Source organism: Homo sapiens, chromosome 3 (assembly GCF_000001405.40).
Source record: "Homo sapiens chromosome 3, GRCh38.p14 Primary Assembly".
In the NCBI taxonomy this organism is placed as follows: domain Eukaryota; kingdom Metazoa; phylum Chordata; class Mammalia; order Primates; family Hominidae; genus Homo; species Homo sapiens.
In genome coordinates this window covers 99,436,874-99,456,755 of record NC_000003.12, presented here as the reverse complement: position 1 = coordinate 99,456,755, position 19,882 = coordinate 99,436,874, and the positions used below count along the sequence as shown (strand labels likewise).

General features: G+C 39.0%; 1 long non-coding RNA gene across 1 annotated transcript in view, besides 1 other annotated feature; it reads left to right on the top strand.

The window, feature by feature from the left end:
• The window catches only part of LOC105374007 (uncharacterized), a 175,630-nt gene that overhangs the window by 141,748 nt on the left and 14,000 nt on the right, over positions 1–19,882 (top strand). The window lies entirely within an intron of this gene.
• Positions 16,496–17,031: an enhancer, noted in NCBI's record as "NANOG hESC enhancer chr3:99158569-99159104 (GRCh37/hg19 assembly coordinates)". NCBI's record gives its function as "activates a minimal SCP1, AML or CMV promoter by ChIP-STARR-seq in primed H9 embryonic stem cells {active_cell/tissue: H9 hESC(primed)}" and the evidence as "EXISTENCE:reporter gene assay evidence [ECO:0000049][PMID:30033119]".

Genomic DNA, 19,882 nt, shown 5'->3' with positions numbered 1-19,882 from the left:
AACCAGACAAAAACAGAAAAAAAAAAACCCTACAGGCCAATATCTCTGATGAATATTGATGCAAAAATTTTCAACAAAATAATAGCAAACAGAATTGAACAATACATCAGAAAGATCATTCATTATGATCAAATAGGACGTATCTGTGGGATGCAAAAATGGGTCAATATATTCAAATCAATCAATGTGATACATCACAGCAACAAAATGAAGGATAAAAACTATATAATCATTTCAGTTGATGCTGAAAAAGCATTTTTAAAAATTCAACATCCCTTCATGATAGTAACTCTAAAAAAACTGGGGATAGAAGGAACATACCTCAACATAATAAAAACCATATATGATACACCCACAGCTAGTATCATACTGAATGGAGAAAAACTGAAAACCTTTCCTCTAACATTGAGAACACAACAAGGATGCCCACTATGTTAGTCAGCATAGTACCAGAAGTCCTAGCTAGAGAAATAAAAGAAGAGAAAGATAAAAAGAGCATCTAAATTGGAAAGGAAGAAGTGAAATTATTCTTGTTTGCAGGTATGATCTTATATTTATTTATTTTTATTATACTTTAAGATTTAGGGTACATGTGCACAATGTGCAGGTTTGTTACATATGTATACATGTGCCACGTTGGTGTGCTGCACTCATTAACTCGTCATTTAACATTAGGTATATCTCCTAATGCTATCCCTCCCCCCTCACCCCAACCCACAACAGGCCCCGGTGTGTGATATTCCCCTTCCTGTGTCCGTGTGTTCTCATTGTTCAATTCCCACCTATGAGTGAGAACATGCAGTGTTTGGTTTTTTTGTCCTTGTGATAGTTTGCTGAGAATGATGGTTTCCAGCTTCATCCATGTCCCTACAAAGGAAATGAACTCATCCTTTTTTATGGCTGCATAGTATTCCATGGTGTATATGTGCCACATTTTCTTAATCCAGTCTATCATTGTTGGACATTTGGGTTGGCTCCAAGTCTTTGCTATTGTGAATAGTGTTGCAATAAACATATGTGTGCATGTGTCTTTATAGCAGCATGATTTATAGTCCTTTGGGTATATACCCAGTAATGGGATGGCTGGGTCAAATGGTATTTCTAGTTCTAGATCCCTGAGGAATGGCCACACTGACTTCCACAAGGGTTGAACTAGTTTACAGTCCCACCAACAGTGTAAAAGTGTTCCTATTTCTCCACATCCTCTGCAGCACCTGTTGTTTCCTGACTTTTTAATGATTGCCATTCTAACTGGTATGAGATGGTATCTCATTGTGGTTTTGATTTGCATTTCTCTGATGGCCAGTGATGATGAGCATTTTTTCATTTGTCTGTTGGCTGCATAAATGTCTTCTTTTGAGAAGTGTCTGTTCATATCCTTCGCCCACTTTTTGATGGGTTTGTTTGTTTTTTTCTTGTAAATTTGTTTGAGTTCATTGTAGATTCTGGGTATTAGCCCTTTGTCAGATGAGTAGATTGCAAAAATTTTCTCCCATTCTGTAGGTTGCCTGCTCACTCTGATGGTAGTTTCTTTTGCTGTGCAGAAGCTCTTTAGTTTAATTAGATCCCATTTATCAATTTTGGCTTTTGTTGCCATTGCTTTTGGTGTTTTAGACATGAAGTCCTTGCCCATGCCTATGTCCCGAATGGTAGTGCCTAGGTTTTCTTCTAGGGTTTTTATGGTTTAGGTCTAACATTTAAGTCTTTAATCCATCTTGAATTAATTTTTGTATAAGGTATAAGGAAGGGATCCAGTTTCAGCTTTCTAAATATTGCTAGCCAGTTTTCCCAGAACCATTTATTAAATATGGAATCCTTTCCCCATTGCTTGTTTTTGTCAGGTTTGTCAAAGATCAGATAGTTGTAGATATGTGGCATTATTTTTGAGGGTTCTGTTCTGTTCCATTGGTCTATATCTCTGTTTTGGTACCAGTACCATGCTGTTTTGATTACTGTAGCCTTGCAGTATAGTTTGAAGTCAGGTAGTGTGATGCCTCCAGCTTTGTTCTTTTGGCTTAGGATTGACTTGGCAATGTGGGCTCTTTTTTGGTTCCATATGAACTTTAAAGTAGTTTTTTCCAATTCAGTGAAGAAATTCTTTGGTAGCTTGATGGGGATGGCATTGAATCTATAAATTACCTTGGGCAGTATGGCCATATTCATGATATTGATTCTTCCTATCCATGAGCATGGAATGTTCTTCCATTTGTTTGTATTCTCTTTTATTTCATTGAGCAGTGGTTTGTAGTTCTCCTTGAAGAGGTCCTTCACATCCCTTGTAAGTTGCGTTCCTAGGTATAGAAGCCCATTCTTATTCTCTTTGAAGCAATTGTGAATGGGAGCTCACTCATGATTTGGCTCTCTGTTTGACTGCTATTGGTGTATAAGAATGCTTGTGAGTTTTGCACATTCATTTTGTATCATGAGACTTTGCTGAAGTTGCTTATCAGCTTAAGGAGATTTTGGGCTGAGATGATGGGCTTTTCTAGATATACAATCATGTCATCTGCAAACAGGGACAATTTGACTTCATCTTTTCCTAATTGAATACCCTTTAATTCCTTCTCCTGCCTAATTGCCCTGGCCAGAACTTCCAACACTATGTTGAATAGGAGTGGTGAGAGAGGGCATCCCTGTCTTGTGCCAGTTTTCAAAGGGAATGCTTCCAGTTTTTGCCCATTCAGTATGATATTGGCTGTGGGTTTGTCGTAGATAGCTCTTATTATTTTGAGATATGTCTCATCAATACCTAATTTATTGAGAGTTTTTAGCATGGAGGGCTGTTGAATTTTGTCAAAGGCCTTTTCTGCATCTATTGAGATAATCATGTGGTTTTTGTCGTTGGTTCTGTTTATACACTGGATTACGTTTATTGATTTGCATAAGTTGAACCAGCCTTGCATCCCAGGGATGAAACCCACTTGATCATGGTGGATAAGCTTTTTGATATGTTGCTGGATTTGGTTTGCCAGTATTTTATTGAGGATTTTTGCATTGATGTTCATCAGGGATATTGGTCTAAAATTCTCTTTTTTTGTTGTGTCTCTGCCAGGCTTTGGTATCAGGATGATGCTAGCCTCATAAAATGAGTTAGGGAGGATTCTCTATTTTTCTATTGATTGGAATAGTTTCAGAAGGAATGGTACCAGCTCCTCCTTGTACCTCTGGTAGAATTCAGCTGTGAATCCATCTGGTCCTGGACTTTTTTTGCTTGGTAAGCTATTAATTATTGCCTCAATTTCAGATCCTGTTATTGGTCTATTCAGAGATTCAACTTCTTCCTGGTTTAGTCTTGGGAGGGTGTATGTGTCCAGGAATTTATCCATTTCTTCTAGATTTTCTAGTTTATTTGCATAGAGGTGTGTTTATAGTAGTCTCTGATGGTAGTTTGTATTTCTGTGGGATCGGTGGTGATATCCCTTTTATCATTTTTTATTGTGTCTATTTGATTTTTCTCTCTTTTCTTCTTTATTAGTCTTGCTAGAAGTCTATCAATTTTGTTGATCTTTTCAAAAAACCAGCTCCTGGATTCATTGATTTTTTGAAGGGTTTTTTGTGTCCCTATTTCCTTCAGTTCTGCTCTGATCTTAGTTATTTCTTGCCTTCTGCTAGCTTTTGAATGTGTTTGCTCTTGCTTCTCTAGTTCTTTTAATTGTGATGTTATTGTGTCAATTTTAGATCTTTCCTGCTTTCTCTTGTCGGCATTTAGTGCTATAAATTTCCCTCTACGCACTGCTTTAAATGTGTCCCAGAGATTGTGGTATGTTGCATCTTTGTTGTGGTTGGTTTCAAAGAACATCTTTATTTATGCCTTCATTTCGTTATGTACCCAGTAGTCATTCAGGAGTAGGTTGTTCAGTTTCCATGTAGTTGAGCGGTTTTGAGTGAGTTTCTTAATCCTGAGTTCTAGTTTGATTGCACTGTGGTCTGAAAGACAGTTTGTTATAATTTCTGCTCTTTTACATTTGCTGAGGAGTGCTTTACTTCCAACTATGTGGTCAATTTTGGAATAGGTGTGGTGTGGTGCTGAGAAGAATGTAAATTCTGTTGATTTGGGGTGGAGAGTTCTGTAGGTGTCTAGTAGGTCCACTTGGAGCAGAGCTGAGTTCAGTTTCTGGATATCCTGTTAACTTTTTGTCTCGTTGATCTGTTTAATGTTGACAGTGGGGTGTTAAAGTCTCCCAATATTAATGTGTGGGAGTCTAAGTCTCTTTGTAGGTCACTCAGGACTTGCTTTATGAATCTGGGTGCTCCTGTATTGGGTGCATATATATTTAGGATAGGTAGCTCTTCTTGTTGAATTGATCCCTTTACCGTTATGTAATGGCCTTCTTTGTCTCTTTTGATTTTTTTTGGTTTAAAGTCTGTTTTATCAGAGAGTAGGATTGCAACCCCTGCCTTTTTTTGTTTTCCATTTGCTTGGTAGATCTTCCTCCATCCTTTTATTTTGAGCCTATGTGTGTCTCTGCATGTGAGATGGGTTTCCTGAATACAGCACACTGATGGGTCTTGACTCTTTATCCAATTTGCCAGTCTGCATCTTTTAATTGGAGCATTTAGCCCATTTAAATTTAAGGTTAATATTGTTATGTGTGAATTTGATCCTGTCATTAAGATGTTAGCTGGTTATTTTGCTTGATAGTTGATGCAGTTTCTTCCTAGCCTTGATGGTCTTTACAATTTGGCATGTTTTTGCAGGGGCTGGTACCGGTTGTTCCTTTCCATGTCTAGTGCTTCCTTCAGGAGCTCTCTTAGGGCAGGCCTGGTGTTGACAAAATCTCTCAGCATTTGCTTGTCTGTAAAGGATTTTATTTCTCCTTCACTTATGAAGCTTAGTTTGGGTGGATATGAAATTCTGGATCGAAAATTCTTTTCTTTAAGAATGTTGAATATTGGCCCCCAATTTCTTCTGGCTTGTAGAGTTTCTGCTGAGAGATCAGCTGTTAGTCTGATGGGCTTCCCTTTGTGGGTAACCTGACCTTTCTCTCTGGCTGCCCTTAACATTTTTTCCCTCATTTTGACTTTGGTGAATCTGACAATTATGTGTCGTGGAGTTGCTCTTCTCGAGGAGTATCTTTATCATGTTCTCTGTATTTCCTGAATTTGAATGTTGGCCTGCCTTTCTAGATTGGGGAAGTTCTCCTGGATAATATCCTGCAGAGTGTTTTCCAACTTGGTTCCATTCTCCCCGTCACTTTCAGGTACACCAATCAGACGTAGATTTGGTCTTTTCACATATTCCCATATTGGAGGCTTTGTTCATTTCTTTTTATTCTTTTTTCTCTAAGCTTCTCTTCTCACTTCATTTCATTCATTTGATCTTCAATCACTGATACCCTTTCTTCCAGTTGATCAAATCAGCTACTGAGGCTTGTGCATTAATCACGTAGTTCTCGTGTCATGGTTTTCAGCTCCATCAGGTCCTTTAAGGACTTCTCTGCATTGGTTATTCTAGCTAGCCATTCGTCTAATCTTTTTTCAAGGTTTTTAACTTCTTTGTCGTGGGTTCGAACTTCCTCCTTTAGCTCGGAGTAGTTTGATCATCTGAAGCCTTCTTCTCTCAACTCATCAAAGTCATTCTCCCTCCAGCTTTGTTCCATTTGCTGGTGAGGAGCTGCGTTCCTTTGGAGGATCAGAGGCACTCTGATTTTTAGGATTTTCAGTTTTTCTGCTCTGTTTTTTCCCCATCTTCATGGTTTTATCTACCTTTAGTCTTTGATGATGGTGACATACAGATGGGGTTTTGGTGTGGATGTCCTTTCTGTTTGTTAGTTTTCCTTCTAACAGACAGGACCCTCAGCTGCAGGTCTGTTGGAGTTTGCCAGAGGTCCATTCCAGACCCTGTTTGCCTGGGTATCAGCAGTGGAGGCTGCAGAACAGCAGATATTGGTGAACAGCAAATGTTGCTGCTTGATCGCTCCTCTGGAAGTTTTGTCTCAGAGGAGTACCTGGCCGTGTGAGGTGTCAGTCTGCCCCCACTGGGGGGTGCCTCCCAGTTAGGCTACTTGGGGGTCAGGGATGGTAAGATCTTATATTTGATAAAACCCGAAGACTCCACAGAAAACTATTAGAACTGATAAACAAATTCAGTAGAGTTGCAGGATACAAAATCTACATACAAAATCAGTAGCATTTCTACATGCAAACAGTGAACAATGTGAAAAAGAATTTAAAAAGTAATCCCACTTACAGTAGCCACAAATAAAATTAAATATCTAGGAATTAACTTACCCAAAGAAGTGAAAGATCTCTATAATGAAAATTATAAAACACTGGTGAATGAAATTGAAGAGAACACCAGAAAAAAAAAAAAGAAGGAACATATTACTATTTATGGATTGGAAGAATTAATATTGTTAAAATGTTTATACTACCCAAGCAATCTACAGATTCAATGCAGTCCCTCTCAAAATACCAATGAAATTAATAACAGAAGAAAAGAAATATTAAAATTTATATGGAACCACAAAAGACCCAGAATAGCCAAAACTCTCCCAAGCAAAAAGAAAAAAAGAAGTGGAGGAATCACATTACCTGACTTCAATTTATACTACAGAGCTTTAGTAACCGAAACAGTGTAGTACTGGCCTAAAAACAGACACAAAGACCAATGGAACAGAACAGAGAACCCAGAAACAAATACATACAGCTACAATAAATGCATTTTTGACAGAGGCATGAAGAACTTACTCTGTGGAAAAGACAGACTCCTCAATAAATTGTGCTGGGAAAACTGGATATTCATCTGTAGAGGAGTGAAACTAGAGCCCTATCTCTCAACATATACAAAAATCAAATAAAAATGGATTAAAGACCTAAATCTAAGACCTCAAATTATGAAACTACTACAAGAAAGCATTGGAGAAAACCTCCAGGGGGAGGGAGAGCATCAGCAAAAATAGCTAATGCATGCTGGGATTAATACTTAGGTGATGGGTTGATAGGTGCAGCACACCACTGTGGCACATATTTGCCTATGTAACAAACCTGCACATCCTGCACATGTACCCTGGAACTTAAAATAAAACAAAACAAAAAGTAGGCTAAGGATGTGAATAGACAATTCTTAAAGAAGATATACAAATGGTCAACGTTACTAGTTATCAGGGAAATGCAAAACCAAAACCACAATGCAATAACACCTTACTCCTGAAAGAATGGCCATAATAAAAAAATCAAAAAATAATAGATGTTGTTGTGGATGTGGTAAAAAGGGAATACTTTTTCACGGTTGGTAGGAATGTAAAGTAGTACAACCACTATGGAAATCAGTGTGGTGATTCCTTAAAGAACTAAGAGTAGATCTATCATTTGATACAGCAATCCCACTCCTGCGTATCTACCCAGAGGAAAAGAAGTCACGGTATGAAAAAGATACGTGCACACGCATGTTTATGGCAGCACAATTCACAATTGCAGAAATATGAAACCAGCCCAAACGTCCATCAATCAACAAGTGGATAAAGAAAATGTGGTATATATATATACCATGGACTACCACTCAGCCATAAAAAGGAATGAAATAATGACATGCACAGTAACCTGGATGGAATTGGAGACCATTATTGTAAGTGAAGTAACTCATGAATGAAAAACCAAACATCATATGTTGTCATTAATAATTGGGAGCTAAGCTATGAGATGCAAAGGCATTAGAATGATATAATGGACTTTGGGGACTCAGGGGAAAGGGCGGGAGAGGGTGAGGGATAAAAAACTACACGTTGGGTGCAACATATACTGCTCGGTTGATGGGTACACCAAAATATTACAAATCACCACTAAAGAACTTATTCGTGTAACCAAATACCACCTGTTCCCCCAAAAAACTATCGAAATAAAAAAAAGATTGATAAAAAAAGAGAATCATCATTAAAAATTTATATTAGAATACACACTCACAGGTTGGTAGATGATATGGAGAAGTACATGATGCTAATCAAAGAGAAAGAAGAGAAGGAATTTGTAGTCTCAGAGAATGAGATAAGGATAGAACATCTGTATTTCAGATGTAAGAAATAAACTAGGAAAACAGGGGATTAATCAAGCTCCAACAGCACCCGGTGCTCATTTCTTCTTGTGCCTAGTTCTTACTATCTTCTCTCGCTGTGCTTAACTTTTGCTGTACTCTAGTGAAATGACACTAGTGAACCTATAATTGTCTCCCCCTTAACAAAAATATAAAAACCAGAACACTAATAAAACCTTGAAAAACATTGGTGGAACATAAAAAAGGGAAAAAAGGAGGAAAGAGAGGGAGAGTTTAATAGTGCCAAATGGCTTTATTTAATTTTAGGGTTTATATAGTACCTTGTTTCAGAAATAATTTAGAGTAGCACAGAGTTGAATATTAGAATGGCTGAAGAGGATGGAGAAGGGGAAGCAATAAATTAAGAGACCACAGTTCTTTATAGCTGTATCAGGTAAAATTTATGGCTTTAAAAGGGGAGGGATTTAGAATATGAGAATATATGTACATTATACAACCCTTGTAAAGAATGCATTCACAAAAATTATTGCATTTTTATTTAAATAGACTACCATGAACCATAAATACTCTACTAGAAACCAAGATATTTAGATTGTGGTTTTTGGGTTGTAACAAACTGTACACTAGAGCAAGAAACAAGCCTTTCTGTTGTCAGAGTTATTGTTTATGAAATAAGGAGTTTGGAATATAGAATTTTGAAGATTGCTTACTGCTGTGAAATTGTATGATTCTGACTGCAGGTATGGACTGATTTAAAGCCTGATTGTAGTAAGTGACCTTTGAAGCTTTTTTTTTTTTTAAATAATGTATCCAAATAAAGTCAATATAATATAGTGACAAGCATTTTCTACCATTTTCTTTTAGGGAATACTGAAGCCCTGCCACTTATTTGCTAAGTTGTTTTCTTCTATTCCCCTCATTAGATATTCTCCCACTTTTTATCTCCCCTTTGCAGCAAACATTTTGAAAGATTCCTTGATTTTCAGTGTCTCCAATGTCTTTAAATTTCCACCTCTTTGTTCTCTCTTAAACTCATTCCAGTCAAGCTTATACTGCCCTAATCCTCTAAAACTGCTCTTGCCAACATCACCAATGATCTCTGACTGTTAAATGCGGAGGTCAACTTCCAGTTCTTATCTTATGTAACCTATCACAGTGATCACTCCTTTTTGTGTGTGTGTGTGTGTTTTTGAGATGGAGTCTCGTGCTGTCACCCAGGTTGGAGTGCAGTGGCGTGATCTTGGCTCACTGCAACCTCTGCCTCCTGGGTTCATGCCATTCTCCTGCCTCAGCCTCCTGAGTAGCTGGGACTACAGGTGCCCACCACCATGCCCAGCTAATTTTTTGTATTTTTAGTACAGACAGGGTTTCACCATGTTAGCCAGGATGGTCTCGATCTCCTGACCTCATGATCTGCCTTCTTTGGCCTCCTAAAGTGCTGGGATTACAGATCACTCCTTCTTAACATACTTTCTTCACTTAACTTCCAGTTCCCAACATAGTCTTGGATTTTTTTCTATGTCACTGATTGCTTCTTCAAAGATTCCATCACAGTTTTTCCTCTTCTTCCTATCTCTTAATGCTGTAACACTTCAGTGTATCTCTTTGGTCCTCCTCTTTTCTCCATTTAAATTGACTTTTTATGTAGTATTATTCAATCCTGTTAAAAAATTACCATCTGTGTGCTGAAAACCCCTACATTTTTATCTCCAGGCCAAATTTCACTGTAAAATACCAGATTTATATACACATTTGCCTACCTGGCATCTCAAGTTGTATGTCTAATGGACATCTGTATTAGTCTGTTTTCATGCTGCTGAAAAAGACATACCCAAGACTGGGTAGTTTATAAAGAAAAAAAGGTTTATTGAACTTGCAGTTCCACATGGCTTGAGAGAACTCACAATCATGGTAGAAGGTGACACATCTTACATGGTGGCAGGTAAGAGAGAATGATGATCAAGCAAAAGAAGAAACCCGATCTAAAACCATCAGATCTTTTTTTTTTTTTTTTTGAGATGGAGTCTTGCTCTGTTGCCCAGGCTAGAGTGCAGTGGCGCAATCTTGGCTCAAGGCAAGCTCCGCCTCCCAGGTTCACGCCATTCTCCTGCCTCAGCCTCCTGAGCAGCTGGGACTACAGGCACCCACCACCACGCCTGGCAAATTTTTTTGTATTTTTAGTAGAGACGGGGTTTTACCGTGTTAGCCAGGATAGTCTCTATCTCCTGACCTTGTGATCCACTGGCCTCGGCCTCCCAAAGTCCTGGGATTACAGGCATGAGCCATCGCACCCAGCCTATAACCATCAGAGCTTGTGAGACTTATTCTCTACCATGAGAACAGTATGGGGGAAACCATTCCCATGATTCAATTATCTCCCACTGGGTTCCTCTCACAACATGTGGGAATTATGGGAGCTACAATTCAAGATGAGACTTGGGTGGGGAAACAGCCAAACCATATCATTTTGCCCCAGCCCCTCCCATATCTCATGACCTCACATTTCCATATCAATCATGCCTTCCCAATAGCCCACCGAAGTCTTAACTCATTTCAGCATTAACTCAAAAGTCCACACTCCAAAGTCTCATCTGAGACAAGGCAAGTCCCTTCGGACTGTGAGCTTGTAAAATCAAAAGCAAGTTATTTACTTCCTAGATACAATAGGGGTACAGGCATTGGAGAAATGCAGCTATTCCGAATGGGAGAAATTGGTTAAAACAAAAGGGCTACAGCACCCATGCAAGTTCAAAGTCCACAAGGGCATTCAAATCTTACAGCTCCAAATGATCTCCTTTGACTTTATGTCTCACATTCAGGTCACACTGATGCAAGAGTTGGGTTCCTATGATTTTGGATAGCTCTTCCTCTGTGGCTTTGCAGGGTATAGCCTCCCTCCTGGCTGCATTCATAGGCTGGTGTTGAGTGTCTGTGGAAAGCCACATGGTGCAAGCTGCCAGTGCATCTACCATTCCAGGGTTTGGAGGAAAATGGCACTCTTCTCACATCTCCACTAGGCAGTACCCCCAGTGGGGATTCTTTGAGGGGGCTTCAACCCCACATTCCCCTTCCACACTGCCCTAGCAGAGGTTCTCCATGAGGGCTACACACCTGTAGCAAACTTCTGCCTGTACATCCAGGTGTTTCCATACAGACTCTGAAATCTAGGTGGAGGTTCCCAAACCTCAATTCTTGTCATCTCTGTACCCACAGGCTCAAACTAAGTGGAAGCTGCTAAGGCTTTGTGCTTGCACCCTCTGAAGCCATGGCCTGAGCTATACCATGGCCCCTTTTAGCCATGGTACCTGGCTCTGGATTCTAAGCCCACCTTTCCACCTTTGCACTCCTGATACCCTTTTAGCCTTTAGCTTGGCCCCTGGAGCAGCTGGGAGGCAGGGCACCAAGGCCGTAGGCTGCACACAGCAGGGGTGTCCTGGGCCTGCCCCAGGAAACCATTTTTTCCTCCTAGGCTCTGGGCCTGTGGTGGGAGAAACTGCTGCAAAGGTCTCTGACATGAGCTCTGACATGTCTCCAGGAGCCATTTTCTCCATTGTCTTGGGGTTTAATATTTGGCTTCTGGTTACTTATGAAATTTCTGCAGCTGGCTTGAATTTCTCCTCAGAAAATGGGTTTTTCTTTTCTATCACATAGTCAAGCTATAAATTTTTCAAACTTTTATGCTCTATTTCCCTTTTAAAATTGAATGCTTTTAACAGCACCCAAGTCACCTCTTGAATGCTTTGCTGCTTAGAAATTTCTTCTGCCAGATACCCTAAATCATCTCCCTCAAGTTCAAAGTTCCACAAATCTCTAGGGCAGGGGCAAAATGCTGCCCGTCTCTTTGCTAAGACATAGCAAGAGTTGCCTTTACTCCAGTTTCCAACAGTTTCCTCATCTTGATCTGAGACCTCCTCAGCCTGGACCTTATTGTCCATATTACCGTGAGTATTTTGGTCAAAGCCATTCAGCAGGTCTCTAGGAAGTTCCAAACTTTCCCATGTCTTCCTATGTTCTGAGCCCTCCAAGTTTCTAGGAAGTTTCAAACTTTTCCATATTTTCCTATCTTCTTCTGAGCCCTCCAAACTGTTCCAACCTCTGCTTGTTACCCAGTTCCAAAGTTGCTTCCACATTTTCAGGTATCTTTACAGCAGTGCCCCACTCTACCAGTACCAATTTACTGTGTTAGTGTGTTTTAACACTGCTGAATAGTGCTTTCACACTGCTGATAAAGACATACCTGAGACTCAGTAATTTATATAGAAAAAGAGTTTTAATGGACTTACAGTTCCATTGTGGCTTGGGAGGCCTCACAATCATGGCAGAAGGTGAAAACATGTCTTACATGGCAGCAGACAAGAGAGAATGAGAACCAAGCAAAAGGGGTTTCCCCTTGTAAAACCATCAGATCACATGAGACTCACTATCATGAGAACAGTATGGGGGAAACCACCCCCATGATTAAATTATCTTTCACTGGGTCCCTCCCACAACACGTGGAAATTATGGGAGCTACAATTCAAGATGAGATTTGGGTGGGGACACATCCAAACATTATCAACATCTGACACCCAACATGTCTAAAAATGAACTTTTGTTTCTTCCCTTCATATCTGTTCTGTTGACAGCCTTCCTTATTTTGGCTGATAGCAGCTTTAGAACCTTAGCACCATCCTTGAACCCTCTCCTTCTTTCATACTCTATAGACATTTCTCAGGAAATTCTGTTGGGACAAGCCTCAAAACATGTGTAACATGACCACTTCTTACCACTTCCTTTTCTATCTCAATGGTCTCAGCTATCATCATCTCTAACTTGGATAATTACAATGCCTTCCCAACTGCATTTCTTGCTTCCATCTTTGTCCCTCTACATTCATGATTTATATAATTTGAAAGAGTAAGGCAAGTAAAAAAAGTAACTTTTTGCTCAAAATCCTCTCATGGATCCCCATTTCACTCAGACAAAGCCAAAGTTATTAAAAGTACTACAAAGCACTATATGAGCAGACTCTCCATTATTTCTTCAACCTTATCATCTAGTGTGTTTGTCACTGGTCATACTGCCATAGTTATATTGGCCCTCATAATTTTCTTCTAGCCTATCAGCATGTTCCTACCTTTGGAACTCTACCATAGTCTAAAATACTTTCTCTCCAATAACTGCATAGCTAACATTTACCACTTTGAATGTCATCTTCACAATGAGGCTCACCCTAATGATTCTAAGCCTACCTTTTCACCCTTGCACTCTTGATACCCCTTAACATGGTTTGCTTTTTCTTTTTCCTTGCATAGCACTTATTGCTTTCTAAAATACTACATAATTTACTTAGTGCCTTATAACATAATACATAATTTATATACTATATATTTGTTATGCTTATTGTCTGTTTCCTTCCTCTAGAATGCAAGGGCCTGGTATAAATATTTGTTGAATAAATAAATAATGTATAAAATAGATGTGATGTTTTCTAATGTATAAACTAAAGATTTGGAAAGCAAAATAGAATTTTCATAAAGACATTTAAAACTTATCTTAAAGACCTCCCCCTAAGACATGTACTTCTCTTTGAAAGAGAAATCAATGTTAATGCATAAATACAGATTACTTAATTTTCATTTTATGATGTTATATTTTACGAGTTGATATTTTGCATTATTTTACATCTTTGTAGTGACAGTCAAAAATATGTAATTTACATTTACTGTTTGTCTGCTTTCTGTGACCTCATTCATGTTATTCCTTTCTTCTCTATTTTATTTCGTAAATACATGAGCACCAATTACGCACTGACTATGGACTAAGCACAGTGCTAGGCTCAAGGAACACTGCTAGGTACTGGAATGTTGATAAGCATCTGGGAAAAACATCCCTTTTCATAAATTCAGCAGGCTGGCAATAAATTTCCCCAGCAAATGCTTGTGTAAAGAGAATCCCTGAAAGAAGTGACGCTGCCTGTCTGGGGGATCAGTGATGCTTTAGACAAGATACATAAGGTTTAGGTATTCTATGTTGCACTATTGTTTTGATGCTGTAACAAGCTACAGATGGTAAACTGTGAAAGACTGTTTTCTAAATAACTCTCATACCTCTGTATATATAGTTGAGTGTAGGCAAACACACACAGAGAAGCAATCTTAATTACCAATGCACTATGTTCAGATCTGGGTCCAGGAATGGACTAATTATAACTGCAAAAAAAAAACCCAAATAGAACAAAAATGTAAGAAATACTTTCTTTAACATCGCCCTCTGTTTTGGCCAGAGACATAAATTAATAGATAAATCCAAAATGTATACTTTTTTATTAATGTAACATTAGTTTTTCTTTGCTCCTGTAAATGAATGAACAAGAAACATCTTAAAACTATAATTTTGAATTGGCACTGGGATAGGGAGAATAATTGCCCAAATATGTTCACATCTTAATTTCCAGAACCTGTGAATATGTTACATCACATGGCAAATGGGACTTTGCAGATGTTATTAATGTTACAGACTACAAAATAGAGAGATTTTCCTATATTATCTAGCCAGCCTCAATCTAATCAGATGAGTCCTTAAAACGGAGAAGCTTGTCTGGCTAGAAGGAAAAGAAAAGTGCAGCACAAGAGGAAGAAAAGAAATGGCAGAAGTACAAATCATAAGAGCTCCCAAGTGTGAGAAGGATTTAACATGCTTTGCTGGTCTGAGATTCAGAGACCACATGCAAGTCTCAGAGAGAGACTTCTAAAAGCTAACAGTAATCTCTGGCTGACAGTCGGCAAGGGAACAAGGACCTCAGTCCCAATCTGAAAGGAGCTGACTTCTACCAGCAACCTAAATGAGCTTTGAATGGGACTACTTATTTCTCTCTTCTCCTGATAATAGCTCACCTAGCCAACATCTTGATTTAAACCTTGTGAAACATGGAGCAAAGAAACTAGTTACTTGTGTTGTTACATTTGTGTTGTTTTAAGCTGCTAATATAGACATCCATTAATTAAAATTTCCAAGGCACCCAGCTTGGTTGAATTATGAAAATTCAATTTGCTCTCAGTTTCTGAAGTCTTATAATCCATTTACCATAGAGATACAGGCTTATTGAATGTCCATATCTCCACATGTGCTCATAAAGCTTCAGTTTAACCTACAGCATGGCTTAAGTAGAGCATTTATATTTTAACCATGCCTATCCATCCTGTATACCATGATTTCTGTCAATAAATTTATCCCAGCTCCTAATACATCTTTATTTTACTCTGAAGAGCAACAGTTTTCCTGAAAGAGGCATTGGCGAGAAGGAGCTCCATTACTACTATGCTGGGGTAGTAATTCCTGGTTACAAAAAGGATCTCCTGAGAAAATATACTTTCTTGGCATTCTAAATGTCCAATTAAGAATTAAATGTCCAATAAACAGGACAACTACTTTTGCACAAGAGGTATATTCCCTTGATGGTTCACTAATCTGTTATTCATTAACTATCTATTACATGTTAGGAATTATTCTAGGAATTGAAGGGACAAAGATATAACAATCCTGGTCTGTCTGTACATTGTTACTGCCTTCATAGAGGTTATAGCCTGGGTGAAAGAGTTTATGAGCCCCTAGGGAGTGCTTATGGAAGGCTTCTCAGAGGAGGTGGCTATTCAACTCAGACTTGAAGGATGATAAGGCTATGACCCATGAGAAGAGGATTTAGGTTTGTTCTAGCTAAGGTGAGGATCATGTTCAAAGGCAAGCAGAGGAGAGGTGTTACAAGCAGCTCAGTATTTCTATAGTGTGAAGTATGAAGGGGGAAAGGGGTGGAGAAGAGAGTGGATAAGTAGGCAGATGCCAGATCATGAAGAGTCTTGTATATTATGCAAAGGGCTTGGTAGAAGTTTTGAAATTTAGAAGCTGAGTTCTCACAAGTTGAAGATTCTCTGTGTCTTTGTGTATGCACATATACACATCTGTATATAATCATGTATATGTTAGTGTGCAGACTTGATGCTCAATACATTTTTGAAAGATTGGCTGGGAACAAAAATAAGATGAAGTCTGAAAACAGAGAGGAAAAAGGAAGAAGAAAAAGTTAAGACTGGATTTGAAAGGAAAACAAAGTGCCTGATTCAGAGAAACAATGCAGGGAGAAATGGGATCAGAAGTAGACTTTGATTAAATAAACACAATACAAACCAAAAGAGAAAAGATCACAAAAGCAAATAATGAGAACTGGCTGTATATTTATCTTTTCCTGACATAGGCACAATAATTTATGTATGTGTGTGTGTCTGTGTGTGTGTGTGTGTGTGTGTGTGTGTGTATGAATTAATATGTAGTTCATATTAGACTCATTTAGTTTTGCTTTTTGGAATTTGACATTAATGTAAATACTATTCTATAAGAAACAATAGACAAGGTCAATACTAAGTCTTTTCAAGCTGTTAAGCAATCACCTCATTTTCAAATATGTAGAGTTTTATGACTTTGTTTCAATGTAAAACTTGGCTCCAATTTATTTTAACACTTAGATTTAGTATGCCAGAAAATCAAACTGTAGCTGAACAACATTAAACTGTCTGAATATGATGATTTATATCATCTGACCTAAAAGAGCAAACTAAAAACAAAAATTACAGCCAGTCAGGACAGATGCACTTATGCAAGAGTAACTAACTTCCTTTCTTATCATTCTAAAAGCAATTATTTCTTGGTGGAAAACCTGCCATTTTCTCCCTTGGGGAAGGTTCCACAAATGTAGTGGATTACCTCAGCATCCCATTCCCTGGAAAACAAAGGAGCTTTTTGTTTTCTGATCCAAAACCTGTTTACCTCTTTTGTGAAGCAAATCCTAAAACAGCTATAATTGAGACAACGGGCAGAGCAGACACAAATGACCTTGTTTCACCAGACATATATATTAAGCTTTGGAAGACAGCATATAAAAAGGTTTGTTGTTAAAAAATGTTGATTTTCTTTCCCATTATGACCTTTGGAACAGAGATTTAGAGGAGAATCTTTACCTGCTGTCACTTCCGCATTTCCTAAAGCTTCTGAGACAACTCCTACAGTTTGCTCTTAGTTTAATTTATGTCCTTTGGGGTGGACACTCACAAAAATGGGTAACTAGGTTTCCTTGGGTTCAGCTACCCAAAGCTATCTCATGTAACTCTCCCTTTTTCATAAATAAGTGATTTTAAAAATGTATCTCTTTCTAAATTTAGAATGTAGGGAACATCAGTGGAAGGAAAGAACAAGTAGGAGGAAGAGTCAGAGGAGTTTAGTTGGTTGACAAAATTGTATCATTCAAAGAAGTGGGACTATTAGCCATCCTCTCTGTGAGGCCATTTTTCTGATATCCTGATACCAAGATTTTTTTTAAAATTCTTCATTTTTTTTTAAACTTTTCTTTCTTTTCTTTTTCTTTCTTTATTTTATTTATTTGTTTATTTTGAATTGGGTCTCACTTTGTTGTTGTCCATGCTAGTTTCAAATTCCTAGCTTCAATCCCTGCCTTGGCCTTCCAAAGTGTTGGGATTACAGGCATGAGCCACCACCACATCAGCCAAATTCTGCCCTTCTAATCACCATGCCCCTGGAAGTGACATGGACTTTCCTCCTGAGTTTTTAACAATGCTATATTTCTAGAATTGGGTACCCGGCTTTCTTTTCACTGATTGAACTTGGAGCTTCATGTCTCTGAGCCTTCAATTCTTTAATTGAAAAATGAGTTGAAAAAAAGGGAAATGCTTCATGTCTTTTCCAGCTCTGTGAGTTTTTGTCTAATTAAAATCCTTAAAACTGAGATTATTGAAAAAAGTTCTTAAGAGATAAAACTTTATACTGCCCTACTTTCCTTTTTTCCTTATTTCCCTCCCTCCCTCCTTCCTTCTTCTGCTTTAAATTTTATGCCACAAGTATTCATTTGCTAGGGCTGCTAAACAAAGTATTGTAACTAACAGAATTTATTTTCTTACTGTTCTGGAGGCTAAAAGTCTGAGATCAAGGGGTTGGCAGAGTTTGTTTCTTCTGAGGCCTCTCTGCTTGGCTTGCAGATGGCTGTCTTTTCCTAGTGTCTTTACGTGGTCTTTCCTCTGTACATGTACATGTCTGTGTCCTAATTTCCTCTTCTTTTAAGGACATCAGTTATATCGGATTAGAGGCCACCCTAATTACCTTATTTAACTAAGAGTTAGAACTTCAACATATGAATTTGGGGGTGGGGACATAATTCAGCCCACAAAACCACACATTGATTCTATATTTTGTCTCCTTTTTTGTATATTAAAATGTCTTAGCTGAGAACAAATTGAAGACTATGATTGAGTTGTGAGCTCCTGAGAATTTCCTTGAATATAATGTGCATACGAACTTTTGTAGATGTTGCTGACAAAGAAAGTGTTTGTGTAAAGGAGGGTATGAGAAGAAGAAAGGTGAATATAAAAGCAATAAAAGGGGGAAACATAAAATTTCCTTTACCCTATCTTCAGTTGTGATCAAGTACTTTTGAACCCATAATAAGAGAGTTTCATGCTAAACTGCGTAAGGCTTTGTATTAGTTCCTTTTTATGCTGCTGATAAAGACATACCTGAGACTGGGCAATTTACAAAAGAAAGACGTTTATTGGACTTACAGTTCCACATGGCTGAGGAGGCCTCACAATCATGGTGGAAGGTGAAAGGCATATCTCACATGGCAGCAGATAAGAGAAGAGAGCTTGTGCAGGAAAACTCTCCTTATAATAACTATCAGATCTCATGAGATTTACTCACCATCATGAGAACAGAATGGGAAAGACCTGTCCCCATGATTCAACTACTTCCCACCTGGCCCCTCCCACCACACATGGGAATTCAAGATGAGTTTTGGGCAGGGACACAGCCAAACCATATCATTCTGCCCTGGCCCCTCCCAAATGTCATGTTCTCACCTTTCAAATCCAATCATGCCTTCCCAACAGTCCCCCGAAGTCTTAACTCATTTCAGCATTAACTGAAAAGTACACAGTCCAAAGTCACATCCGAGACAAGGCAAGTCCCGTCTGCCTATAAGCCTGTAAAGTCAAAAGCAAGTTAGCTACTTCCTAGATACAGTGGGAGTAGAGGCATTGGATAAATACAACAATTCGAAATGGGAGAGATTGGTCAAACCAAAGGGGCTATAGGCCCCATGCAAGTTCAAAATCCAGCAGGGCAGTCAAATCTTAAAGCTTCAAAATGATCTCCTTTGACTCCATATTGCGTGTTCAAGTCACATTAATGCAAGAGATGGATTCCCATGGTCTCTAGCAGCTCTGCCCCTGTGGCTCTGCAGGGCATAGCCCTCCTCCTGGCTGCTTTCATGGGTTGGCAGTGAGTGTCTGTGGCTTTTCCAGGGGCATGGTGCAAGCTATTGGTGGATCTAGTATTCCAGTGTCTGGAGGACAATGGCTGTCTTCTCACAGCTCCACTAGGTGGTCCCCCAGTAGGGACTTTTTGTGGGGGCTCTGACACCACATTTCACTTCTGCACTGCCCTAGCAGAGGTTCTCCATGAGGACCCCACCCCTGCAGCAAACTTTTTCCTGTGCATCCAGCCATTTCCATACATCTTCTGAAATCTAGATGGAGGTTCCCAAACCTCAGTTCTTGACTTCTGTGCACCCACAGGCTCAACACCACATGGAAGCTGCCAAGGCTTGGGACTTCCACCCTCTGAAGCAACAGCCTGAGCTGTACCTTGGCTCCTTTTAGTCATGTCTGGAGTGGCTGGGATGCAGGGCACCAAGTCCCTAAACTGCACACAGCACGGGGACCCTGGGCCCGACACATGAAACCATTTTCTCCTAGGCCTCTGGGCCTGTGATGGGAGGGGCTACCATGAAGACTTCTGACATGCCCTGGAGCCATTTTCCCCATTGTATTGGGGATTAATATTTGGCTCCTG